The sequence below is a fragment of the Homo sapiens genome, chromosome 10 (assembly GCF_000001405.40).
Source record: "Homo sapiens chromosome 10, GRCh38.p14 Primary Assembly".
Taxonomy (NCBI): Eukaryota; Metazoa; Chordata; class Mammalia; order Primates; family Hominidae; genus Homo; species Homo sapiens.
The window spans coordinates 11,883,835-11,911,516 of NC_000010.11; the positions used below are offsets into that span (position 1 = coordinate 11,883,835).

The following is a 27,682-nucleotide window of genomic DNA, read 5'->3' on the forward strand; positions in this document are numbered from 1 at the left end:
TTTCACATAACAGATTGATGCTCACAGAATTTTTATTGATTTTTTGCCAAACATATTCAGCCATGATTTGACAGAGTTGCATCTTACTCTGCTCTTTCCCCAACAAGTAACCTTAAATCCAGTAAGTGAACAGCTGGTAAACCATTTCTCACCTTCCTGTTAATTATTTTTATTAAACTGAAGACTCTTTTTGGCTTTGGCAGCATGTATTTCTGAACTTGTTAATGACATGAACAACTTCTTTGCTGAATCACAGAATAATTTCCAAATGCGAGAAAAATATTTCCTCCACTTTTTGTGTTATTCACAATGGAATGGCTACAGGTACAATGCACTGTTAAGTTTAATCTGTATTACTAACATCACTGTGAAGAATAATCAACAGAACCATAAGTCAAGCCTTGATTTACAGCATTTGCCAATTGCAATGGTGTAAATATTCACACCGTGGCCCATTTCCAGCTATCAACCTGACGGTGTCGAGCTCAGAGTCAGGAAGAGACACGCACGAGCAAACCATCACGTGGTGGCCTCCCTCCACACAGACACAGTGGACATACATAACATCCAAATTATAGAAAATAGTGATATGGGCCAGGCACGGTGGCTCATGCCTATAATCCCAACACTTCGGGAGGCCAGGGCAGGCAGATCACTTGAGGTCAGGAGTTTAAGACCAGCCTGACCAACATGGTGAAACCCCGTCTCTGCTAAAAATACAGAAAAATTAGCCGGGCATGGTGGTGCACGCCTGTAATCCCAGCTATTCAGGAAGCTGAGGTAGGAGAATCGTTTGAACTCAGGAGGTGGAGGTTGCAGTGAGCCGAGATCATGCCATTGCACTCCAGCCTGGGAAACAGAGACTCCATCTCAAAAAAAAAAAAAAAAAAAAAAAAGTGGTATGATTAGGAAGTCATGAATTTAGAGTACTTATTACCTTTGTCTTATTATTTGATTGTACATTTGCCTAATTTTAAAATGATGGCTGTGATTAACACCTGGCTTGTAAAATTCCTGAAATTGTACCCATCAGTCTGGCCAGCCTGGACAAGCCAGCTCTAGCAGTCAGAGAAGACAGGGCCCGGCCTATGCTGAGTGACTGGATGCCTTGGAGTTAGTGATTCCGGAAGGAAAAGGCAGGCCAGTGCAGAGCCAGCAGCCAGGGCTAAGCCAAAGGGCAAAATGTTCCCGGCTTGAACAGGGTGACCACACAGCCTACCCACAGACTGGCCAGGGCAGTCCTGGTTATGCTTGGTGTCCCCCAGCCCCTTTTAGTTTCAAAAGCATCTGTTTAGGATGGACATTACATACTTTCCCTGTGACACTTGCAGAGCTATGGCCCTCTGGGTCCCTAGAACTGGCTGAAGAGGGAGTGGGCCGGGCTGGTGAGCAGAGGCCAGGTTGGGAGGGCAGGGGTGAGTGCAGATGGAGGAGGCCAGGCTGGGAGGGCAGGGGTGAGTGCAGATGGAAGAGGCCGAGCTGGGAGGGGATGGGTGGGTGGAGATGGAAGAGGCGGAGCTGGGAGGAGATGGGTGGGTAGAGATGGAAGAGGCGGAGCTGAGAGGGGATGGGTGGGTAGAGATGGAAGAGGCCGAGCTGAGAGGGGATGGGTGGGTGGAGATGGAAGAGGCCGAGCTGAGAGGGGATGGGTGGGTAGAGATGGAAGAGGCCGAGCTGAGAGGGGATGGGTGGGTGGAGATGGAAGAGGCCGAGCTGAGAGGGGATGGGTGGGTGGAGATGGAAGAGGCCGAGCTGAGAGGGGATGGGTGGGTGCAGATGGACGAGGCCGAGCTGAAGGCAGGGGTGGGTGGAGATGGAGGAAGCCAAGGGAAGGAAAAGGTGGTGACAAGAGTGGCAGGCACTTTCTGGGAAGCTGGAATAAGGGAAGGCACTGGGAGCCATCCGCTGGTGCCAGGGAGAGTTCCATTACAAGGAGCAGCTGAACTCAGCTGTCTCCAGAGCCAGGGGCTAGGTGGGCAGCTTCTCCAGAGGAACAAGGGTGCCCCCCGTCCCTGATCAACTAGGGTGTCTGTCATTCATTGTTGGCCTTACAAAGCTGGTGAGGGAACAAGAAAAAAAATGCACACGAAGTTCAAGTGCTTCACACCTAGCTTTCCAACACATAGGAGGAGACGGCAGGAGGGGTCAGAATCCCCGAACTGTGGGAGGCCTGGGACTCCTAGGTCTCAGCTGGAGCCCCCCAGATAAAAGCCCCCTCGGAGACTGGCAGGGGCGGGGTGGGGTTGTTCCAGCAGCCAGTTCCCATCACTCTCCCACTCAGCCAGCAGCCTCCTGAAGGCCCAAATCCCGAATCTTTCCTGGCCTTCTTTTCCCCCCAGTGGGGACAGGGCATAGCTGGCCCGTCTCCTGGAGGACAGAGCCAGGAGCAGGCCAGCAGGCCCTTCACTTCCTCTGCTGCCAACGTGCGAACACACCCGTGTGTGGTGTCCAAAGCCAAGCCACTCTCTGGCAAACCAGCCAAAGACAGAAGATCCCCAAACCCAAATGTTCTGAAATCTTTTCCAGGCTTTCAAACCTTGGCTAAACAAGGCAAAGGAGCTAGGGAACAGTCTTTGGCCTTGAAAGATGAGAAGGTCGAGGGCTCTCCAGGACACAGGGCAGATGCCTTTGATGGCAGCATTTTATAAAGAGAGAAACAGAACACAGCTAAGTGCTGCTCTGAAGACCCTCTCTTTGAATATCAGTATTAGGTTATTTCATCTCCACATGGAGCCTGTGGAGTAGGTTCTACTGCAGGAAACTGAGGCACGGAGCAGGTAGATACCATCCAGATCCCATAGCTGATGAATGTCAGAGCTGCGACATGGACCCAGGCTGCCTCGCTCTCAGCTGCGACGCTGAGCCGACCCCTGCACAGGGGCCTTGTTCTCGGTCCTTTCCTGCCACTGTGGGAACTGGGAGCCTGGGAGTTACATCGTATGTGACATCAGAGCCAGAGCTGGCACAGGGTCACAGGGCACAGGGTCACAGGGCCTGCAGCTTAGATGCTTTGAGGGACACTTCTTAAGGTCAAGACTATAAAACTGTGACTGTGAAGAGCTCAGGCTTCAAAGCAGCCCAGGCCAGCCAGGGAGGCTGAGCTGGAGGCTTCTCTAGCCTCGTGGGAGATGGGCCCTGCCCCAGGGGACCTCCCCGATGATCTATGCCAGGGCTTCCCGGAGCCCCTTCTCCTCCAGGCAAGAGAAGCCATGTCCCGAAAGCCCCGCAGGAGGGGTCTGAGGGGAAATCCAGAAGCAGCCCAGCCTCTCGTCACGCACCACTGAGGCCGACACCCGGGTGGGGCCCAGATGCCGAGTGATTCAGGGGAGGCCTTGGCAGCCTGCCTGCCCCCAGACACTCGAGTAACCAGGGCAAGATGTGGAAAACCCCCTGACCAGACCCGAAACCAGTGGGAGCGTTCAAGTTTAACCCACCCAGGGTCGGGAACGTGGCCTGAAGCCAAAGTAGAAGCCCTGGAGGAGAAAAGGGCCCATTTCTTTCCTGGGCACCGCCAATGGCTTTTCCTTTTTAAGAGGCACAGACAGGGTCACAGATGGCCCCAGGCAGATGCCTTGGTATGGAGGGACCAGTCCACTGCAGGCCCTATCTTGGGTTTCGAAGATTCAAACACCACCAGCACCACCGACTAGAATGTTCTGTGCCATGGAAGGCCCTCATTGGCCACATCCCTCTTGCTTCCTGAACAACGGCTGGGCAAGGCTGAGGTCTGCGGGGCAGGATGGCCTCTGCAGAGGAAGGCATCAGGGCCCAAGTGAGGGAAGCCTGGGTCCTGGGTCCAGAGGCCCGGTGTGGCATGGCAAAGGCCAGGTGGGGTGAGGAAAGCTACTGGGCAGCAGGGGGCCTGGTGCTGAGTGTCAGAGCCGGGGGCAATGGGGGGAAGGCAGCGTCCCCAGGGAGGAGGCAGCGCCCCCAGGGAGGAGGCAGCATGGGATGAGGCCAGTCACAGACGAAGGGAGGGACCCAGCATGTCCAGAAGAACAAATGAGCTCACCAGGGCGCAGCTGCTCACACCTGTCATCCCAGCACTTTGGAAGGCTGAGACGGGAGGACCGCTTGAACTCAGAAGTTCCAGACCAGTCTGGCCAAAATGGAGAAACCCTGTCTTCACAAAACAAACAAACAAACAACAAAAAAATGAAAAATTAGCTGGGCATGGTGGCACACACCTGCAGTCCCAGCTACAGGTGGGACACTGATAGATACAGAAGCAAGCATGGATGTAAAGCACGTACATGCATATGTATCCCCAGCTCAGTCCACTCAGGGCTGAGGGCTGGGATACCCAATATCCACGAGCACAAACGGTACCCAGACACTGACTTCTGAATTTCCATCCCCCACTAAAAAAGAATCAGGGAGGCCAGGCGTGGTGGCTCACACCCATCCTCCCAGCACTTTGGGAGGCCGAGACAGGAGGATCACTTGAACCTAGGAGTTTGAGACCAGCAGGGCAATACAGTGAGACTCCATCTCTATAAAAGATGAAGAAATTAGTTGGGCAGGGTGGTGTACACCTACGGTCCCAGCTACTTGGGAGACTGAGGTAGAAGGATTGCTTGAGCCCGGGATTGTACCACTGCACTCCGGCCTGAGCAACAGAACAAGACCCTGTATCTGAATAAATATATAATTAAATTAAAAATTAAAATAAAAAGAATCACAGCTCTTCAGAGAGATGGTTGACTCCAGAGCCTGGGCAGGGAAATGACAAGATGAGCCTGGAACATATATTTGGGCCAGAAGGTAAGGAAGTGCTCAAAGAACGATGGAGACAGGTCAAAATAACACAGAAGTCAGCTTGAAGGGACTCCCGCTGACCAAATCTGGCCTAATTTGAGCATAAAGTAAATAATATAATAAATAGATTGTAACCCATTACAACCCATTGAATAAAATGGGAAACCACATAAGGCCACACCTGTATTAATTGTATCCATTAGTTATATTATTAATTATAATTGAGATATTTATATAGTTCCAGAGTACCTCTTCTTAAAACATTTAATTACAAAGGAAAAATAACATCACCTGGAGAAGCCTGGCCAATTCTACCTTCTTCGAGTGATGGAAGTGACACCAGGGAAGGGGCAGATGAAAATGGTGTGCCTGGCTGGGCGTGGTGGCTCACGCCTGTAATCCCAGCACTTTGGGAGGCCAAGGCAGGCGGATCACAAGGTCAGGAGATCGAGACCATCCTGGCTAACATGGTGAAAACCCATCTCTGCTAAAAATATAAAAAATTAGCTGGGTGTGGTAGCAGGTGCCTGTAGTCCCAGCTACTCAGGAGGCTGAGGCAGGAGAATGGCGTGATCCCGGGAGGTAGAGCTTGCAGTGAGCGGAGATCGCACCACTGCACTCCAGCCTGGGCGACAGAGTGAGATTCTGTCTCAAAAAACACACACAAAAAATGGTGTGCCCGTGGAGAGGACCCCATGACAACACAACACTACTTCCTGCTGTTCCTACCAGAGGTGAAACCTGCCTCCAAGCACGAGAAGACCTCAGAAAACCCCACTTGAGGGGCATCCCATAAACACCTGAATCTCAAAGCTTCAGACTAAGATCATGCAAGTCGGCTGGGCGTGGTGGCTCACACCTGTAATCTCAGCACTTTGGGTGGCCAAGGCGGGCATATCACCTGGGGTCAGGAGTTCAAGACCAGCCTGACCAACATGGTAAAACCCCGTCACTACTAAAAAAGAAAAAGTATTAGCTGGGCGTGGTGGTGTGCACCTATAATCCCAGCTACTTGGGAGGCTGAGGCAGGTGAATTGCTTGAACCCAGGAGGCGGCAGTTGCAGTGAGCTGAGATTGCGCCACTGCACTCCAGCCTGGGCAACAGAGTGAGACTATTTCAAAAAATAAAATAAAATAAATAAAGATTGCACAAGTTAGTAACAAACTGGGGCCCTCTCCCAGACTGAAGGAGTCTAAGGAGATACATCTATGTGAAACTACAGGTGATGCGTTTCTACACTGGATTCTGTTGTGAAAAAGGACATCATGGAGAAGACTGGGGAACCTTGAATAGGCTATGAGAGTGGCTGGTGGTGATCGAGCAACACTAATTTCCTACCAAAGATAAAACCTGCCTCCAAGCACGAGACCCCAGGTTTTGTCTCTGGAGGAACAGCAGGAAGTGCTGTTACGTCCTCATGGTGTCCTCTCCAGGCGCCCACCATTTCTGTCGGTTTTTTATACTGGTATTGTAGTTCTACAGAATGTCCTTCTTTGTAGGAAATACACACCAAAATAGTTGGAGATGCTGGGGCACCATTTCAGCAATTATTTCCCAAATGATTCTGGTGGGGGGATGGGGTGCAGAATGTTTACTGTACTTGTAACTTCTCTGTAAAAGTCTGAGGTTGTTTCTAAATCCCTCTATCAGTCTTCCATCAAATTCCAGGTCTCAGAGATGGCAGGGAACTCAGGAGAACCTTCAGGCATGGAAGGGTTTTATTATTCCCATTTTACAGGAGAGATTGTTGAGACACAGTGGGTAATGCAGTAGGCCTTTGGCCACCTATTTAATAAGTGGGCTGAAGGTGGAGATGGCAGGAGCCTGGCATAGAGCGGCCCAAGTTCCCAGCCAGCCTTCTGCAGGTGCACCTCCCACCAGGACCTGGTGCTTCTGCAGTGGAGGCCATTCCCAATTAGGTCATTTCCACCTTAAAAGATCAATGCTGGCCGGGTGCGGTGGCTCACGCCTGTAATCCCAGCATTCTGGGAAGCCGAGGTGGGTAGATCACCTGAGGTCAGGAGATCAAGACCCGGCTGGCCAACATGGCGAAACCCCATCTCTACTAAAAATACAAAAATTAGCCAGGTATGGTGGTGCGTGCCTGTAATCCCAGCTACTCAGGAGGCTGAGGCAGGAGAATCGCTTGAACCCAGGAGGTGGAGGTTGCAGTGAGCTGAGACTGCGCCACTGCACTCCAGCCTAGGCGACGGTGAGACTCCATCTTAAAAAAAAAAAAAAATCAATGCCATCCCAAGCAGAAAAGAAAAAGCCATAGAGTATTAGGCATGGACTTGATGATCAGAGCTAAACTGGGATAGCTGGGCCCATCTATCTATTTATAAAGTCCTCTCAACAACAAAATCCTCCCTCGCAGCCCCTTCAGGTACCCTGAGGGGAGAGGGCAGGGCAGGTGGAGAAGGAATTCATCAAGTAAAACTTTCCCCAGGAGAGAGGTAGGGGCCATTCGTGAAAGGACAATGAGACAAAGATATTTATTTTAAGGGAGCGAGTCCCTTGCTCAAAGATGCGAAGATGCAGAAATGGAAGGTAAGAGCAGGAGTTCTGTGGGAAGCAGAAGCGGCACTTGTTCTTGCCCTTAAAGGTCGTGAGAGATGCTCTCGTCTGTGCCTGGACAAGTAGGCCCCAGGGGACCACCTACCCTCCCCACAGCACAGCCCAGACCCAGCTGGACAACAGAAGGCCAAGCTCATCACTGAGGTGAGAAGTCAGGAAGGGTGCCAAGCTCCCCTGGTGGGTGTGTGGCAGCACCAGGGCCTAAGCGTAGGCAGGCTGGCTCCAGGACTGTGTCAGGCTGTCCCTTGGGACACAGAACTGATGCCATCTGGGTGGTTTTCCACTTAAGTCAAACTACGAGACATCAAATCAAAGATGGTCGCCGTCTCTGAGAAATGCAATCCACCATAGACTTGAATTTAAAAGTTTCCCCAGGTTCCTGGGGTGACAGAGCATTATGGAGGGACAATGACGTTTGTTTTTACAAACAGAGAAACTGGTCTACAGCCACTCCGTGACTGGTGAACAGAATCTTTTCCCCCTGCCCTCAGTTTGAATGAAATAACCAGGGTCAGTTCCCCTTTCTAGAAGCACTGGCCAGTCCGCCCACCAAGTGGCCACAGGCCCGCAAGGAAGGAGGCTGCCTGGAATAGCTTTCTTTTCTGTTTTCCTACAAACTGACCCCAATATGTAGTCCCTGTGACCCCAGGCAGATGAGACCCAGCATATGCTGAGCCCTGTAGCGTGGTGTTCCATAGGCATGAGGAATTACAAAACCACTGCACCCAGAGCGAGGGCATCGGGAGCCCCGCTGAGCTCTGAGCTGCGGTAGTAGCATCGCAGCTTACCTCTGTAATAAACAGACCCAAACAACACTGGCTTAGACAGAATCGGTGCCACTGCCATGCCGGAGTTCCAGTGGTGGACAGAGCCAGTATGGCAGCTCCACAACCATCAGGGATTCAGAGCCCCTCAACTTACAGTCTTGGGCTGCATAACGATGGCACACTGGCGACAGACTGCATATACAACGGAAGTCCCGTAACATTAGAATACCGTATTTTTACTGTACCTTTTCTATGTCTAGATACACAAACACCACTGTTACAACTACCTCCAGTATTCAGTGCGGTCACACAACGCCCAGGTTTGCAGCCCAGGAGCAATACTCCGCCATGTAGCCTGGGTGTGTAGCAGGCTCCCCGGTCTAAGTGTGTAAATACATTCTATGATGTCCTCACAGCGAGAAGATCGCCTGGTGACTCATTTCTCAGAATGCATCTTCGTCATTAAGTGAGGTGTGACCTTATTTTCTCTGCCATCCTCAACACGTACTTCCATGTTGGGACCCAAAATAACCGTTCCAGTTCCTGCCATCATATTCAGAGTCAAGCCAAAACGAAGGCAGCCTAGAAAAAAGTGAGGACACACCACTTCCTTTCAAACACACCACCCAGAATTCATACACATCTTGTTCATTCCCACTCCATGAGCCAGGATTTCTGTCACATGGTCACGGTCAGCGGAAGGTGAGGCTGAGAACCTAGCAACTCTAGTACTTCGTGAAAGGGTGAGAATGCACAGTAGGGCATGAGTTAGCAGATTCGAGCACAAGAGTTGTGCATTTTGTTATTTATTTATTTATTTATTTATTTATTTATTTATTTTGAGACAGAGTCTCGCTCTGTCGCCCAGGCTGGAGTGCAGTGGCGCGATCTCGGCTCACTGCAAGCTCCGCCTCCTGGGTTCCCGCCATTCTCCTGCCTCCGCCTCCCCAGTGGCTGGGACTACAGGCACCAGCCACCAGGCCTGGCTAATTTTTTGTATTTTTAGTAGAGACGGGGTTTCACCATGTTAGCCAGGATGATTTTGATCTCCTGACCTCGTGATCCACCCGTCTTGGCCTCCCAAAGTGCTGGGATTACAGGCGTGAGCCACTGCACCTGGCTGAGTTGTGCATTTTAGCTGCTAGCATCAAGAACTTCCTTTTCTGCCGCCCTAGCACAGCCAGGTCTAAACTGGAGCCAATTTTCTTAGCTAAGAAGTGCACACTGGACCTGAGCCAGACTAGACCAGAGTGTCCCCTCAGCCTCTCAGGAATCTTTTTTTTTTTTTTTTAAAAAAAAAAAAAAAAAAAAAAGACAGTCTCACTCTGTTTCCTAGGCTGGAGTGCAGTGATGTGATCTCAGCTCACTGCAACCTTCACCTCCCAGGTTCAAGCAATTCTCCTGACTCAACCTCCTGAGTAGCTGGGATTACAGGCGCCCATCACCACACCTGGCTAGCTTTTGTAGTTTTAGTAGACAAGGGTTTTCATCATGTTGCACAGGCTGGTCTGGAACTCCTGACCTCAGATGATTCGCCCGCCTCGGCCTCCCAAACTGCTGGAATTACAGGCCTGAGCCGCTGCCGCCCCAGCCCAGAATCTACTATTCCACACTCTCTTGCCTGTTGGCTGGGTCCGTCCCTTCTGCTCAGAAGGATCAGGCCTCCCAGCCTCCTGCTCTGTCACTGGGGAGTCAAGCTCCTGGGCATCCACCTCTACACAGTGAGCCTCAGTCTGGCCAGCAAAGATGAGACAGGGGGGCAGGAACAGGCAGTGGGCCCCCAGGAGAACCAAGGCTCTCTTGGCCAAGGTGAATTTTCAACCTCATCAACCAGTACCAGCATCGCCTACAGATGTAGAGGTGAGGGCAGCCCGGGCTGCGGACCCAGCCTGAGCCAATGTTGCTGGCAGACAAAAGGCAAAAATGCCCCATGCCCACCAGCAGACCCAATGCGGGAGTCCCGAGAGACTGGGATATGGTCCTCCAGTAGCCAGGCTGCACGTGTCGCTGGCAGTGGCATCCCTGGGGCTCCTTTCAACCCAGCCGGCTTAAAGGAGCTCTAGGGCCCACAGGAGGGGCCATCTGGCCTGGGCATTCAGGCAGCTTCAGCAGGCGGCAGGGACGGGAAACTCAGCCCACGCGTCTAACAGCTCTGCAGGCTGGAAGGGGCCACGGGGCCTGGTGATAACATAAAGCTTCAGTGTCGGAGTTACTAGACTGGGTAGCTTGTGGCCGGCGAGTTACCTGATGCCTACACGTCCTGGTTTCCCATCTATGACACGGAGACGGTCATTCCTGTGTGGTGGATGGCAACACGTGGCGCGGAGGGAGCCCTTGCTATACCCGCCGCTGGCATAGCGCGTCTTTGTGCCTCAGTTTCGTCACGCAGACAGGCGAGCAGACCGTCCACCCGGCACGGCAGACGAGGAGGGCACCGGGCCCCGCCTGCCTCCTCCTTGTTTCTCCTCTGCAGTCCCAGGTCTCGGCTTAGCTGTCTCCTCCGGGAAGGCCCGTGCTGGCCCGCCTGCTCCCGGGAGGTCGCACTGGCCTTCGGTGCCGAGGTGGGTGCGCCATCTTCTTTGCGTGTCTTGTCCCTTCTGCTGCGTCCTGGCCGATGTCGTGACCCGCCGTGACGGGCAGGGGAGGCAGAGCCGAAAGGCCCAAGCAGGGTGCCGCACTCCGTGCTAACGGTAAAGTGGAGGGCCGGGTAAGCAGGAGGCCACCAGAGCAGCTGCCGCACGCGGTGCTGTCCTGCATGCGACTGAGGCCCACCGGAAGCAGGGAGCACTTCAGCTTAAGGGGAGGGAGGAGGCCCGCCGGAAGAAGGGGGAGGGGGCCCACCGGAAGTGGGGGGAGCTTGTCCTCCGGAAAGCGGGGGAGGAGGCCCGCTGGAAATGGGGGAAGCACGCGTGCTGGAAAGAGGGGGAGGAGGCCTGCCAGAAATAAGGGGAGCATGCCCACCGGAACGGAAGGAGGCGGCCCAGCAGAAATGGGGGAGCACGCCCACTGGAAAGGAGGGAGGAAGCCCAGCAGAAAGCGGGGCGAGGGGGGGCATACCCACCGGAAAGCGGAGCACGCCAGCCAGAAGGGGGAGGAGGCCCGCCAGAGAGCCGAGAGGACGCCGCCAAAACAGGGCAGTGTGGAGGAGCACACCCACCAGAAGTGGAGAGCATGTCCAGAAAGAAGGAGCACTTCAGGAAGCCACGGGACTTACAGGGGAAGAAGAATTCACAAGGATAACACGACAGTCACCCTATATAGCAATGGTCCAGTCACTGGTCACCTTCCAGAAACAGGGCCCCCATGACCAGCGAGAGGCGGGATGCCCAGCAAAGCCACAACGCGTCTCGCCCGCTCATTCCCCATCACCGCTCAGCTCACGGGCCAGGGGACAGTTAGGAACTGTGGGTTCTGAGGTCTCAGAGCAAGAGACAACCGCCTAAGAGCAAATAGAAGTCTCAGGAAACAGAAGCAGATTCTGTCAAAAGTCTGTTGAAGTGTCTTTGACACCACCAGACATTAAGGACCTTTGTGTTTTTATTTTTATGTATTTTCTTTTCAGATATTATTTTAGGTTCAGGGGTTAAATGTGTGGGCTTGTTGCATGGGAATTAGGTATACAGATAATTTTGTCACCCAGGTAAGAGCACAGTACCCGTAGTTTCTCTATCTTCTCCCTCCTCCCACCCTCCACCCTCAAGTAATCCTCAGGGTCTGTTGTTCCCTTCTTTGCATCCATCTGTACTCATCATTTAGCTACCACTTGTAAGTGAGAACGTGCAGTATTTGGTTTTTCCTTCCTGTGTTATTCACTTAGGATAATGGCCTCCACCTCCATCCACGTTGTTGCAAAAGACAGGATTTCACTCTTTTTATGGCTGCATAGTATTCCATGGTGTATATGTACTGTATGTTCTTTATCCAATCCACCATCCATGGGCATTTAAGTGGATTCCAAGTCCCTGCTATTGTGAATGGTGCTACGATTAAGGCAAGCGTGCATCTGTCTTTTTTTTTTTTTTTGAGACAGTCTCGCTATGTCACCCAGGCTGGAGTGCAGTGGCATGATCTCGGCTCACTGCAAGCTCCACCTCCCGGGTTCACGCCATTCTCCTGCCTCAGCCTCCCAAGTAGCCGGGACTACAGGTGCCCACCACCATGCCCGACTAATTTTTTTGTATTTCTAGTGGAGACGGGGTTTCACCGTGTTAGCCAGGGTGGTCTCGATCTCCTGACCTCGTGATCTGCCTGCCTCAGCCTCCCAAAGTGATGGGATTACAGGCCTGAGCCACCGCGCCTGGCTTTTTTTTTTTTTTTTTTGGGACGGAATTTCACTCGTTGCCCAGGCTGGAGTGCAATGGCGCAACCTTGGCTCAGTGTAACCTCCACTTCCCGGGTTGAAGCCATTCTCCTGCCTCACCCTCCCGAGTAGCTGGGACTACATGTACCCACCACCACGCCCAGCTAATTTTCTGTACTTTTAGTAGAGATGGGGTTTCACCATGTTGGCCAGGCTGGTCTCAAACTCCCGGCCTCAGGTGAGCCATCCACCTCGGCCTCCCAAAGTACTGGGATTGCAGGTGTGAGCCACTGCCCGCGTCTGCATGTGTCTTTTTGGTAGATGGACTTATATTCCGTTGGGTATATACCCAGTAATGGGATTGCTGGGTCAAATGGTAGCTCTGTTTTAAATTATTTGAGAAATTTCTAATCTGCTTTCCATAGCAAACTGAACAGTTTGCATTCCCACCAGCAGTGTACACGTGTACCCTTTTCTCCATAACCTCCCCAGCATGTCATTTTTTGGCTTTTTAATAACAGGTCTTCCGACTGGTATAAGATGGTATCTCATTGTGGTTATGATTTGCATTTCTCTGTTGAGCATTTTTTCTTATGTGTGTTGGCCTCATCTTTTGAGAATTGTCTGTTTGTGACCTCTGCCTGTTTATTTCTCCTTCTAAATATGAGAAGTAGTTTGGAGCAGATAAGGGTGCAGAATGAGGCCTCAAGCAAGGGTCAGCACAGGGTCCCTGGTGGTGAAGTGGGTCCCGCAGTATCTGTGACAGCTGCTGTACCCTCCCATCAGCTCCTGGGCATAACCTATCTGATGTGCATTTCTCCTGGCTTCCAGGCACTTTTTTTTTTTAAATAAAATATTCTTAGTCCCCCCTTCATGGTCCTTGTAGAATTTTGTCCTTGTGGCCTGGGCTCTCCCCCGGTATATTTTGCTGACTTTTTCTTGTGATTTCTCAGAGTTTTATACTTGGTTCAGTCCTGTCTTTACTTCTTAAAACTTTGAATCTTTTAGGTAAAGAGATGCAGAACATTCTGCTGCATGCCCTTTGCTCCGGGTTAGGTTCATAATGAGTAACATGGGGTAACACTGATAGAAATGTTAACATTTGATCTTTGTTTACTGTGAGGTAAGCAAAAAAATGTTTAATTAAAATAATTTTAAAAAGAAATTCTAACCTTAATTTCAAAAATATGATGTTAGTGTTTAGAAAAGCTTATGTCTGGTATACCAGCAGTCGTTACCAAACCATCACCTGTAATCCAAGATTACAAGTGACCAGCCGGGCATGGTGGCTCAGGCCTGTAATCCCAGCAGTTTGGGAGGCTGAGGCAGGCGGAGCACCTGAGGTTAGGAGTTCGAGACCAGCCTGGCCAAGATGGCGAAACCCTGTCTCTACTAAAAATACAAAAATTAGCTGGGCATGGTGGTGCATGCCTGTAGTCCCAGCCACTCGGGAGGCTGAGGCAGGAGAATCACCTGAACCTGGGAGGCAGAGGTTACAGTGAGCAGAGGTCATGCCATTGCACTCCAGCCTGGGCAACAAGAGCAAAATTCCGTCTTAAAAAAAAAATTATAAGTGACCTAGAGGGCTGTCATAGGATCACAGGATACTTCTACCCATCAGGGGCTGACGTGATCTGGAGTGATCGTCAGGGAGCTGTGTTCCTCCCAGCCTGGAAGAAGCAGATTTAACCGGCATATAGAGAGAAGACTTTCTGTTTTGTCTTTACAGTGATAGCAACTTCTCTCTCCTCTACAACCTGTGTTTGTTTTGGTAATTGTTGTCTTATCTAATAAAACTGATGTTCAGAAAGGTGTACCATGCTATCCTATGGCTTTGTCTAGCCCCCAGCACATCACTAGGTAAACCTAGAGATTTGCGATCCTTGTTTCAGAAGCCCAAGATGAAGGCCATGTCAAGCTTGTTAAAATAACAGAAGAAAGGAGATGGCAGAGCAGCGAAGTGCTGTCAGTCATTTACACTACAGTCTAAACTCACCCCCTTTCCTAAGGAAAGGTTTGAGATGAGGGGAGAGGAGAAAGACCAGGATGAGTGAGGGCAGCAGCAGATGAAAGGGAGGGAAGAAGCTGGGGTTAGCAAACTCAGCCTTCACCTCTGTGCGTCTGGCCCAGGGCCAGCCCCAATTCCTCTGACATCACTGAGCAAGCATTTGTAGCACTCATTACACACCTGTTGGTCCCAGAACATTCCATTCTGAGTCCCGTTGCCAGGAAAGGACTGCATTCTCTGACCGGGAATGAAGCCCCAGGGAGACAGAGACCCCACTGGGACCTGGCTGGAGTTCGTGCCACTGTAATCACAGGGCTGGGCAGCTTCCGCTGAGGGCCGCCTTTATCTCTCATCTTTCATCTCCAGGCTTTTCGCGCTCCTCAGTTAGTCCGCCCCCACAGCTGCCTGGACTCCACCCTGGGGGAAGAAGAGGCCCTGGGATGGGGTGACCAGGAGGTGACTTACAGACCAGGCCGGAAATGGCATCATGGCCCCCGGCCTTGTGAATTCGCGGTCTCCCGCTCCCACCCTCACCTTATCCTCAAGGCCCAGACACCAAGGCCCACTAAGGCCTGGAGGAGGGGAAGCCCGAGTGTCTCTCCCGTATCTCTGCGCCAACATCACCTCTGCCCGCCCCTGGCGCCACTCCGGGGGCTGTCTGCATTGTGTTTGGAGGTGTCTTAGGGAAGTGGGTCAAGCAGCCTCTGCCCAGGGCTTGTCTGAGTTGAGAGCAGCCAAGACCCCAGGGAGTATTCGGCTGAGGGTGCCCTTGAACCTGTGGGGAACTGGTGGGCTTTCTCTAATGCCACATGGCCTCTGTCTGCTAAAGGTGTGGCCATGGAGTCCATAAATTCAAGCCGTGTTTTTCCCTTAGGGAAAATGAAGCTCTCTGTAAGGTGAGATGGTGACTGACAAAGCCACATCCCCGTGACTCAACTTGACAAGGCGTTGTGGCCCCCTCACGTCCAACAGCCCCAATCAATGCACACTCACTGTTTTCACCACCAAGGAAAACAGCGGGCCTCTGGGACTCCAGCCGACTCCACCACGGGATGGGCGAAGGGGGAGGCTCAAGACTAACAGTCAATAGAGGCAAAGTGTGGGCCTCTATGCAACAGTTACCTGGCCAAGGGCCGCGTGCTAATTACCAATTCATTCGCGTGACAAGTTCATGAAGCAGCTCCCATTGCTATCTCCGCTGCAGGATGGAGAGGCTGAAGGTCAGACACCACAGAGAGAAGGCATAAACCAGTGGCCCCACTCTACCAGCCCCAACCCCATCTAGACCATCTAGATCCAGCCAGGTACAGCGAGCGTGCCCCGGGACCACGCAGTATGCTAAAGCCCACTGTGTTGTTGAGCCGCACGGCCACTGCCCAGGCCAGACGGCGGGGTCCCTGGCATCGTCCACATGCCCTGTGCTCATCTGGGTAGGCACTGAAGAGGTGATGAGAAGCCATCCCGCTCTCCACCCTCACAGCCCACGACCCTCAGCCAGCACCCCAACAGGGAGGTGAAGACTCAGGGGCTCACGGGAGCCTGCAAGTCCTAAAGCATCTGCATCGAGCCCACGTCCACATCAAGTCCATCCTAAGAACAGGAGCAGATCCTGCCCCGCCAGGAGGCAGGTGGGCTGCCTTCTACAAGGTCATTCAGTTCTTTTTTTTTTTTTTTGAGGCAGAGTCTTGCTCTGTCACCAGGCTGGAGTACAGTGGCACGATCTTGGCTCACTGCAACCTCCACCTCCCAGGTTCAAGCGATTCTCCTGCCTCAGCCTCCTGAGTAGCTGGGACCACAGGTGCACGCCGCCACCATGCCCAGCTAATTTTTGTAGTAGAGATGGTTTCACCATGTTGGCCAGGATGGTCTCGATCTCCTGACCTCATGATCCACCCACCTCGGCCTCCCAAAATGCTGGGATTACAGGCGTGAGCCACCAGGCCCGGCCGGCCATTCAGTTCTTAAAGACTCATTTCCTGAGTGAGCCCAGTGCCTGCAGAACGAGGCCTACTGACCACATCTCCCAACTCCGCCATCACCAACCAGGAGCTGCCTCCAGGGACAGCAGGAGTAAGTGTCTCAAGTTAGGACCAAACAAAGCCTGGGTCCTGTGGTCCCTGGACATGACACGCTCCTTTGCTATTTCCACTCGCTTCACCCACCCACAAGAGGTGGGCATGGCCAAAACGCACAGGAGTCACACTCCCGCCAGCCCCAGCTCTTCCTGGCGCGGCACCACCACTGGCTGGCAGGGGCGCAGGAGTGGCGCCTCTTTGCAGGTGTGATTTGAGGTGGAGCCGCAGAGATTCTCACAACCCAAAAAGTCAGAGCCGGCTGGGTGCGGTGGCTCACGCCTGTAATCCCAGCACTCTGGGATGCCGAGGCGGGCAGATCACAAGGTCAGGAGATCGAGACCAGCCTGGCCAACATGGTGAAACCCGTCTCTACTAAAAATACAAAAATTAGCCAGGTGTGGCGGCGGGCACCTGTAGTCCCAGCTACTCGGGTGGTTGAGGCAGGAGAATCGCTTGAACCCGGAAGGCGGAGGCTGCAGTGAGCCGAGATCGGGCCAATACACTCCAGCCTAGGTGACAGAGCGAGACTGTCTCAAAAGAAAAAGAAAAAAAGAAAGAAAAAGCCGAAGCCCAGGAACCGATTTGTGTTTTGTAAAATGCCTTTTGGAATCTCTAATGAGACGATGCTGTTCACTGTGGCTGTCCACTGTGGCAGGCGTGGCGCTGGGGGTGTGACCACAGTAGCAGGCAGCCGCCCGGTGACAGCCTTCTTGACTTTCCCTTTCTTTCCTAGCGTTCTGAAGGGGGGCAATGGCCTTATTACACTGAGCCAGAAAATACCCAGCAAAGGTCACAATAAGGCTATGTCGAGAACAAACCAGCTTTATTGTTACGTGTTGATGTGGCTTCTCCAAAGACCATGTTCTGTTGCCATTTGGGCGCGGCCGCACCCAGAAAGACAATAGCCACTATTACACTGCCAAGACAGGTCTCAGAAGTTCCATTTTCCTAAAAATGGCATTTCTGGCTCTGAAAGGGATTGCCCAAAATTTGTTTTTTGATAAAAACATGTTTTAATAAGAACATTTTTCTTGGGGTTCAAAAACATGTCTTTTTGGCCTAAGGCAGCCCAGAAACAGCAGGGGGGCATGCAGTGGGGAGGGAAAGACAAGTTCCATCCAGTAGGCGGAAGGCAGAGGGCAGAGGCCCCTGCAGTGGAGATGGGCTCTTGCCCGCCCTCCCCACCCTTTCAAGAACCATCTCCCAAGGGCGGATCTTGACCAAGGCTGTGGTTCCTGCTGTCTGCTCTGACCTTGCCCACCAAAACTTTGGCCCCGTCTGCAAATACAAACAGAACGGATGACTTATCTGTGTTGCCTAATGAAGGCAGGTTGCCCTTCACATGCCCAGGTTCCTGCCCAGGCTGAGCTGCTGGCCCACACACGTGCCCAGGGAGATTCTTTTTCTGGCGGCTATTTCCTCCTGTCAAGAATTCTCCTGGATTCAGGAAGTTCCGTTTAAGAGTTTCCTCACTGCCATCATAGAAACCTAAGTCTGGAAGGATCTCTAAGCAGTTACGAAGTCTATTCCCAAACATCGCCACACTCCCTGCCGTTTTCAGAGGCGGAACCCCCCCATCCCCCGACAGCTGCCGGCCACGCTGTGACTCACTTCTTCCACCACTTCGTGAGGTCTCAGCTAAGGTCTTCAGGTTTCTGGGGGGCCCTGCTCCCGTCGGCTCTTGTCTCTCAAGTGAACAGAACTGTTTCTGAAGGGCATACGTAGGGCAGGTGTCCCCACCCACACTGTCCTTCCAGTTCTGGCTGGGCCAGATTCTCAAAGCCCACCCCAGACCCACTGAGTCAGAATCCACATTTTAACAAGATCCCAGGTGAGTTGCGTCCTCATGAGAGCCCAGGGATCACTGCTGTAAGAGAGCCCAAAAGCGCCTGTTAGGCATCTGCTATCAAAATCCTATACGTCTTTTAGGGCTCAGCTTGACTGTGCCCTGCTCCATGTCACCTCCCACTTGCCCTAATCTCACTGTATGTGTGCGCGCGCGTGCGCGCGCACACACACACACACACACACACACAGATGTACTGCTGCCTTTCCTGCAGTGACCACATCGCTGGGTCTCTTTTAGCCCAGAGCTCACCCTCTTTCCTGAAGTGCATTTGAGACTCTCCCTCTGCTGTCAATTATAGCCGTGTGCTGAGTGAGGGCCTTGTTAATCTATAGCATCCCGTGCCATGCCTTGAGAGATGCTGTGGACAGAGCCTGAACAGCACAGATGCATGAAGCAAATGAATGGAATAATGGAGGGAGGAACAAACAGAGGTCAGGCTCTCAACACAGGAAGGTCTGCAGGATTCCACCGGCAGCACTGTACCGGACACTCTGGGGTGAGAGTTTCACAAGCTTGGCCCCAGCTTTCTTCCCTTGAGCAGTGGGGAGCACCTTAGTTTGCCTGCCCCCATCTTGGAGTGACAGGAAATGAGATGCACCCTGGGGTGCGCCCAGGAGCCTCAGAGGCCATGAGGCTGTCCCTGTAGGTCCAAAGAGGACAGGGGCATCTGCCTTGCCAGAGGATGCACAGCAAAGCCTGCGTTTGCAGCAGGAGCCCGAGCCTGCCCTCTTCAGTGGCCAGCTCCAGCACTGGGATATGAGGGCAAACTCACAAACTCCCTGACCTTGGCGAGCTGTCCTCCTATCCGCTCATCTTCCTATCTGCTCATCTTCTAGGAAAGCCTTCCTGGACCGCCTTACCCAATCTCCCCTTTCTCAGGATCCTGGCACTTTGTGGGTATATGGTTTTCTCTGTTGATACTGCAGAGACTTTCCTTCTAAGACTGGAAATGAGGCAGCCGTATCACCCCCACCACTTTCATTGATTATTGTGCTGGAGAGTCTAGCCAGTGCAGTCAGGTAAGAAAAAGACATAAAAGACATCCACATTGGAAAGCTGGTACAGCTGCCATGATCCCGGATGAAGAATATCCTAAGGAATGTACAAAACAACCACTAGAACTAACGAAAGAGTCCAGCAATGTCACAGGATACAAGATCAGGGTAGAAATATCAATTGCATTTCTACGTATTAGCGCAATCTGAAAATGAAATTAGTGGCTGGGTGTGGTGGCTCACGCCTGCAATCCCAGCACTTTGGTAGGCCAAGGCGGGGGTGGATTCTTTGAGGTCAGGAGTTCGAGACCAGCCTGGTCAACATGGTGAAACCCCATCTCCACTAAAAATACAAAAATTAGCCAGGTATGGTGGTGGGTACCTGTAATCCAGCTACTCGGGAGGCTGAGGCAGGAGAATCACTTGAACCCGGGAGGTGGAGGTTGCAGTGAGCTGAGATTGCACCACTGTACTCCAGCCTGGTGACAGGGTAAGGCATTGTCTCAAAAAAAAAAAAAAAAAAGAAGAAGAAAATGAAGTCAGTAATTCCATTCATAAAAGCATCAAAGATAATGCTATTCCTATCAAAATCCCAGCAACATATTTTGCAGAAATAGAGAAGCTTATTCTAAAATCTATATGGAAAGGCAAAGGAACTAGATTGGGTGAAAACAACCCTGATGAAGAAAAAAGAGGGAGAAATCACTGTCCTCAGTCTCAAGGCTTACTCCACAGCCACAGCAACCAAGTCAGTGTGGTGTTAGTGGAGGACTAGACAGACCAAAGGAACAGAACCCACACCTAGGCCCACACGAGCATGTGCAACTGATTTTTTGAGACGGAGTCTTGCTCTGTCACCTAGGCTGGAGCACAGTGGCGTGATCTCAGCTCACTGCAACCTCTGCCTCCTGGGTTCAAGCGATTGTCCTGCCTCAGCCTCCAGAGTAGCTGGGATTACAGGCAAGCGCCACCACACCCGGCTAATTTTTGTATTCTTAGTAGACAGGGGATTTTGTCATGTTGGCCAGGCTGGTCTCAAACTCCTGACCTCAGGTGATCCGCCTGCCTCAGCCTCCCAAAGTACAGGGATTACAGGCATGAGCCACCGTGCCAAGCCTGGTTTTTTGTTTTTTTTTTTTTAATATATATCCAGCAAAACTCTATTTCAAAATTGAAAACAAAATAAAGACACTTCCAAATTAAAAAAAGCTGAGAGAATTTGCTGCTGGCAGACCTGCCTTATAAAACATAGTCGTGTCATCTGATTTTTGCCAAAGGTGCAAAAGCAATTCAACAGAGCAAGGAGAGCTCTTTAACAAATGGGATAAGACTGGACGTCCACAGGTGAAAGTGATCCTCGACGCAAACCTCACACCTGATACAAAAAGTTGGCTCAAAATGAATCATGGACCTAAATGTAAAACATAAAACTATAATACTTTTAGGAAAGAAAACAGAAAATCTTTGAGACTTAGAGCTAGGTGAAGACTAGAGATTTTTGGTTTTTGTTTTTGAGACAGTCTCGCTGTGTTGCCCAGGCTGGAGTGCAGTGGTGCAATCTCGGCTCACTGCAGCCCCCACCTCCCAGATTCAAACGATTCTCCTGCCTCAGCCTCCGGAGTAGCTGCAATTATAGACGCGCAACACCCCGTCTGGCTAATTTTTGTATTTTTAGTAGAGACAGGTTTTCACCATGTTGGCCAGGTTGGCCTTGAACTCCCGACCTCACGTGATCCGCCCGCCTCAGCCTCCCAAAGTGCTGGGATTACAGGCACGAGCCACTGCCCCCAGCCAACAGTAGAGTTCTTAGGCATGATACCAAAAGCACAATCCATGAAAAAAAAAAAAAATAGGTTGGACTTCATCGAAATTTAAAACTTGCTGAGTGAAAGAACTGTTAAGAGGATGAAAAGACAAACTACCTACTGGGGAGAAATGTTGAAAAACCACGTAACTCACAAAGGACTTGTATCTAGAGTACATAAAGACTTCTCAAAACTCAATGGTAAAAACACAGATGAAGGTCCTGCTTCTAATTAAATTACAAAGCGTGGCCGGGCGCGGTGGCTCAAGCCTGGAATCCCAGCACTTTGGGAGGCCGAGGCGGGCGGATCATGAGGTCAGGAGATCGAGACCATCCTGGCTAACACGGTGAAACCCCGTCTCTACCAAAAATTCAAAAAATTATTATCTGGGCGTGTTGGCACGCGCCTGTAGTCCCAGCTACTCGGGAGGCTGAGGCAGGAGAATGGCATGAACCCAGGAGGCGGAGGTTGCAGTGAGCCGAGATCGCACCATTGCACTCCAGCCTGGGCAACAAAGCAAGACTCCATCTCCAAAAAAAAAAAAAGCAAGCGGGCAAAAGACAAACAGACGTTTCACCAAAGAGGAGGTGTGAACGGCAACCAAGTGCATAAAAGCACATTCAACATCGTAGCCAGGAGGAAAATGCCAATGAGAACTCCAAGGATAGGCCCCCACGCACCAGTTAGAGCAGCTACAATAAAAATACTCCTAACAGCAGGTGCCTGCAACATGAGGGAGAAACTGGCTCTCTCACACACCGCTAGTGGGAATGTAAGACGGTACCTTTACTCTGGAAAACAGCTCAGCAGCTCTTTCTTAGAAGACCAAACAGGCACTTTCTATGTGACCCAGCAATCATCCTCTTGGGTGTTTGTCCCAGAGAAATGAACACTTTTACATTTACACAAAAACCTGCACCAACCCAGAATTGAACACTTAAAAATGGTTACAGGCCAGGCACCGTGGCTCAGGCCTGTAATCCCAGCACTTTGGGAGGCTGAGGCAGGAGGATGACTTGAGCTGAGGAGTTGAGCCCAGTCTGGGCAACATAGTGGAACCCCAGCTCTACAAAATAATAAATTAGCCAGATGTGGCAGAACACGCCTGTGGTCACTTGAGCCCAGGAGATCAAGGCTGCAGTGGGTTGTGGTTGCACGACTGCACTCTAGCCTAGACAAGAATGAGACCCCACTGCAAAAATCAAACAAAAAAGGCCAGTTGCGGTGGCTCACACCTGTAATCCCAGCACTTTGGGAGGCCAAGGCGGGCAGAGTGCTTGAGGTCAGGAGTTTGAGACCAGCCTGGCCAACTTGGTGAAACCCCATGTCTACTAAAAATACAAAAATTAGCCAGGCATGGTGGTGGCTGCCTGTAATCCCAGCTACTCAGGAGGCTGAGGCAGGAGAATTGCTTGAACCTGGAAGGTGGAGGTTGCAATGAACCTAGAACACACCACTGCACTCCAGCCTGGGCAACAGAGCAAGACTCCATCAAAAAGAAAAAAAAAAAACTTACCTTTTCACAAAAAACTATATATGTACTAAATTGTATATTTAAAGGTTACTGGTGCCCGGGCACAGTGGCTCATGCCTGTAATCCCAGCACTTAGGGAGGCCGAGGCAGGTGGATTACCCAAGGTCAGGAGTTTGAGACTAACCTGGCCAACACGGTAAAACCCCATCTCTACCCAAAATACAAAAATTAGCCATGTGTGGTGGTGCCTGCCTGTAATCCCAGCTACACGGGTGACTGAGGAAAAACCAGAACAAAAACCAAAACAAAACAATAAAAGGGTTACTGGTAAATTTTATATTACATATATTTTACCACACAAAATCTGTACATAAATATTCATAGCAGCTTTATTCAGAAGAGCCAAAAACCGGAAGCAACCCAAACATGCTTCTGTGGGCGGATGGTTAAACCAACGCTGGTCCATCCAGCCACAGAATTCTACTCAGCCATAAAAAGAAACACACAACACGCACAGCAGCTGGCAGGGCTCCCAAGGCCATCACAGAGCCACACTGTACGACCCCATTGACATGAACATTCTCAGAATGACAGAAGAGTAAGGATGGAGACCGGATTGGCAGTTGCCGGGGGACAAGGACAGTGGTGCCGTGACTACAGAGAGTTCCTCTATGTTGGTGGAAGTTCTGTATCTTGACTGTACGGAGTTACAGGAACCCATACACGGGATCATGTCTCATAGAACCACACACACGCACGCACGTGTATGTGAAAGTGGGTGGAACTGTGTAAGGTTCAATGTCTGATCAACAGCACTGAACCAATATCACTTTCCTGGTTGTGACGTTGGACAGTCATCCTGTAAGATGCCACCATTGGGGGAAGCTGGTTGAAGGGTTTGTGGGACCGTGTGTTATGTTTGCAACTTCAGGTGCTTCTGTAAGTCTTCCTAAATCAACAGTTTTTTATTATTATTATTATTTTTATTTTGAGAGGGAGTCTCGCTCTGTCGCCCAGGCTGGAGTGCAGTGGCGCGATCTCCGCTCACTGCAAGCTCCGCCTCCCGGGTTCATGCCATTCTCCTGCCTCAGCCTCCTGAGTAGCTGGGACTGCAGGTGCCCGCCACCACGCCCGGCTAATTTTTTTTTTTTTTTTTTTTGTATTTTTAGTAGAGAAGGGGTTTTACCATGTTAGCCAGGATGGTCTCAATCTCCTGACCTCGTGATCCGCCCGCCTCGGCCTCCCAAAGTGCTGGGATTACAGGCGTGAGCCACCACGCCCGGCCATAAATCAACAGTTTTAAGTTGTAAGTGTGATCAGGAATTTTCATCCTTATTTTGCGTCTCCTCACCCAGTAACAGAGGGTGTTGCTGCCTTCTGTGCATTTGACCCCCACGCTTGGATCCGATCGGAGATGGCAGGGCTGAGTGCTCTTGGAGCCCAGGTGGGGCGCACTGGCCGATCGTGGAAGAAGGAAGGACGCCAAAGCCCCACAGGCCTGGCACCAGTGATGTAAACACTCCGCCACCTTCAGCCTCTGTCCCGCCGGGCCCCAAGAGAGGGACCCAGATGGCTTTCTCCTGAGGGGCCGAGTTAGGGTCACTGCCACGGAGCCTCAGCGGGCCATTCTCTGCCCCTCCTGCTGTGAGCGGTGAGGCAGGCGGCAGGGCAAGGGTCAGGGCCTGGGCCCAGGTGGGCGCTTCTCGCCTGCTGCTGTGGGAAGGAAGCTTGCTTCCCAAGCCTCGGGTCTCAAAGAAGACACAGCGCAGCAGGCTGTGGCCGGGAGCCCTCTGGCCTCCCCAGGTGTGCGACGTTCTCCACTGTCCAATGCCAGCAGCCCGGGCCACCTCGATCACAGCTCCTGAGGCTCGCTTAGGAAAAATGCAAAGCACATGCCCAGCAAACAAACCAAGTCAAAGCAGAAGGAAAGGAAAACCCGGCCAGGCAGAACGGAGGGAGGTGCCAGCTCACAGCCAGCCCCTCTCCCCAGCTCCTGTCCCTGCTGGGGCGCTCCCTGCACTCCTCAGACCCCAGCCCCAGGCCTGAGGATCCCAAGTGGCCCTAGAAGCATCTTCAGTCACCGCGGTTCTGGAGGGGAGCCTCCTTCCCACGCACCCCAGTGCCTCCTTTGCCCTTCCCAGAGCAACGCGACCTCCTCAGCTCCCTGGCCAGACCTCTGCCTGCCAGCTGCAGACTGGGGGCCTCCAGAAGCCAGGTCCACCTGGCAGGGGCCATTCTCCCTGGCAGCAGTAAAGCCATGAGGCCATGCAAGGCACGCAGACCAGGAGAGGCACACGGCACTTAGGCAGCTCATCCTCACCCTCCCCACGAGTGGCACCACCAGGGGCTTCCCACACTTTACCACTCTCCCAGTCGCCAGGCCAGGAGCCCCGAGTCCCCTCACCCCACCTGCTCCTCCATGGAGCCCATTGCCCAGGCCTGGCAGCTCTGCTGGAAACACACGCTCGAGCCTGTCTGCTCTTTTCCTCCCATCCACCATCCCCCAAGCGTCCCATGTCCAGGGCCTCGCCCTCCTGACTCCACCTCAGCCCCTACCATCTGCTCCCCACCCCACAGCCAGAGTGAACCTTCAAGTCAGATCCAACCAACCCCGTAACACTTAGAAGGAAACGTACACGTCCCACTGGCGACCAAGCCCACTCCAGCACTGGCCCTGCCCTCACGCCGCTTCCACTGCAGCTCTCTCCACCTCCCGCTGCATCCTCCTTCCTCAAAGGGCCACACTCAGTCCCTTCCCTCTGTCCTCTTCTCTTGCACTGTGTCCCCCAGTCTGGAGCTGACCCCCTGTCAGCTCTTAATTCTCTCTTGGCCTGGAGGACTCCTCCTCCACACATCCGACCCGGGGTAGCCAACAAGCCACTGAGCGGTCGTGGGCACAATGGCTCAAACCTGTGACCCCAGCACTGTGGGAGGCCAAAGTGGGAGGGTTGCTTGAGGCTAGGAGTTCAAGATCAGCCTGGCCCACAAAGTGAGACCCTGTTCCGCAAAAAAATTTTAAATAGTTAGCTGGGCTGGATTGCATGTGCCTGTAGTCCCAGCTACTTGGGAGGCTGAGGTGGGAGGATCACTTGAGCTTGGTAGGTCCAAGGCTGCAGTGAGCCGTGATCATGCCACTGCACTCCAGCCTGGGCAACAGAGCAAGTCACTTACTCCAAGAAAAAAAAAAAGTCACTAAGCCATGACACGGGCCCAGCAACAGCTCCCAGGAACCCTCCAGTGAGGACGGCCCTTTCAAGTCGCCTTGACTTGGGCAGAGGCATTGGCCCTCGTACTCCCACACTGACCAGCGTTTACGTGGGGTGTCCCCAGGCCACCCCCAGCCACGTCTGCAGCCGAGACCATCCCAGGAGCTGACAGCTGGAGGCTGCCTGCCAAGAGCACTCCTGGCAGCTCCCAGCATGAGTCCTCCAGGGAAGGCAGTCTAGGCAGCAGATACAGTCTCCATCAGCAGTGACCTCCGTGAGACACTGTCCTTAATCACTGTTTATGTGTCTCACCCTTGGAAAACGTAGGTGCCACAGAAGCAGGACTTTCTCTGCCCTGTGCATTACTGTAACCTTATTTATTACCCGTAACTAGCACGCAGGAGGGCTGAAGGAATTTTAGCTGCCCAGGTCTGGAACCTGTTTTCCATTCTATTTTCACCATCACCCTAGAACTTTCAGAAATTTATTCTCATTACACAAATACTTTAAAGAGGCTTCAGTTACGGAACTTACCTGGTAAGTGGCAGGAGCAGAACTGACATCCAGTCTTGCTTCACCCACAGCCAGTGTTACCGGGTGACACGCCTGCTGCCCCACAAGCAGAAAAGCCAGTACTATGGCGCAGGTGGTTGTGAGTGCCCGGCACGGAGACAGGAAGCCACACTCCCACCCGTCTCCCCAAGATGAGGTGGGTCAAGCCCTCCTGGCCGTTCTAACTAGTCTCAGCTGATGGCAATGCAGCCGGTCTGCCAGGCTTGTGGTGTTAACAATGAGGATGTCAAACCCTTCCTGCTGTGCGTGCCTGGCAATTTTGGCTCTGTCACCTGTAACAACTTAAGAAAAAGTAAATTGGTGTGAGCTGGTCCTGCGGGTACACCCGATCGCTGCCACTGTACCGGAAGGATGGCAAAGGAGCAGTCGGTGGTCAGTCCTGTGTTGAAGGATGAGGGTACACATTCCAGATGGGTAAGGATTTAAGCAAATCCCTACAATTCCTCATACTCTCAGTGTTGAATGCAATGCTCCTGGTATCACAGTCATAGTAAATGTGGGCTCATTGATTTGAGAACCAACCCCCGCATCCCTTTGTTCTAGGTACGCAAGCCAGGGGTCAAAACTGATTATTTCAAATCTTCTTCCTGCTTTGCTTCCTTCACTTATTCTTTGCCAATCCTGTCTCAACGAAGCCCTGTAAAAATCCCACCTCCAGTCTCAAAATGATTCTGGAGTATTGTTCTGGCCCGACTCTACTGAAAGAAAAAGTCACCAGCCTGTGGGGTTTAAGAATTCCCATCTTGCTGGGTGCAGTGGCTCATGCCTGTAATCCAGGCACTTTGGGAAGCCAAGGTGGGTGGATGACCTGAGGTCAGGAGTTCGAGACCAACCTGGCCAACATAGTGAAATCCTGTCTCCACTAAAAAATACAAAAATTAGCCAGGCGTGGTGGCAGGCACCTTAATCCCAGCTACTTGGGAGGCAGAGGCAGGAGAATCGTTTAAACCCGGGAGGCAGAGTTGCAGTGAGCCGAGATGGAGCCATTGCACTCAAGCCTGGGGGACAAGAGCGAGACTTCTCTCAAAAAAGAAAAAAAAAAAGAATTCCCAAATTCCCATCTTTTCAGCCAGGCGCAGTGGCTCACGCTTGTAATCCCAGCACTTTAGGAGGCCGAGGTGGGCGGATCATGAGGTCAGGAGATTGAGACCATCCTGGCCAACATGGTGAAACCCCATCTCTACTAAAAATACAAAAATTAGCTGGGCATGGTGGCACATGCCTCCAATCCCAGCTACTCAGGAGGCTGAGGCAGGAGAATCGCTTGAACCTGGGAGGCAAAGGTTGCAGTGAG

General features: G+C 52.0%; 1 long non-coding RNA gene across 1 annotated transcript in view, besides 3 other annotated features; it reads right to left on the reverse strand.

The window, feature by feature from the left end:
* PROSER2-AS1 (PROSER2 antisense RNA 1) overlaps positions 1 to 10,876 on the reverse strand; it is a 45,103-nt gene extending 34,227 nt beyond the window's left edge. The window contains exons 1-2 of the long non-coding RNA NR_038222.1: positions 10,348 to 10,876; positions 4,013 to 4,119 (exon numbers count right to left, since the gene is read on the reverse strand). This is a non-coding gene — a long non-coding RNA (PROSER2 antisense RNA 1). The remainder of the gene's footprint in view (positions 1 to 4,012; positions 4,120 to 10,347) is intronic.
* Positions 3,108 to 3,197: an enhancer, noted in NCBI's record as "active region_3027". NCBI's record gives its function as "activates an Ori minimal core promoter by ATAC-STARR-seq in GM12878 lymphoblastoid cells {active_cell/tissue: GM12878}" and the evidence as "EXISTENCE:reporter gene assay evidence [ECO:0000049][PMID:35858748]".
* Positions 14,297 to 15,496: an enhancer, noted in NCBI's record as "P300/CBP strongly-dependent group 1 enhancer chr10:11940130-11941329 (GRCh37/hg19 assembly coordinates)". NCBI's record gives its function as "activates an origin of replication core promoter dependent on BRD2, BRD4, P300/CBP, MED14 and CDK7 cofactors, with strong dependence on P300/CBP, by STARR-seq in HCT116 cells {active_cell/tissue: HCT116}" and the evidence as "EXISTENCE:reporter gene assay evidence [ECO:0000049][PMID:35650434]".
* Positions 23,066 to 23,205: an enhancer, noted in NCBI's record as "active region_3028". NCBI's record gives its function as "activates an Ori minimal core promoter by ATAC-STARR-seq in GM12878 lymphoblastoid cells {active_cell/tissue: GM12878}" and the evidence as "EXISTENCE:reporter gene assay evidence [ECO:0000049][PMID:35858748]".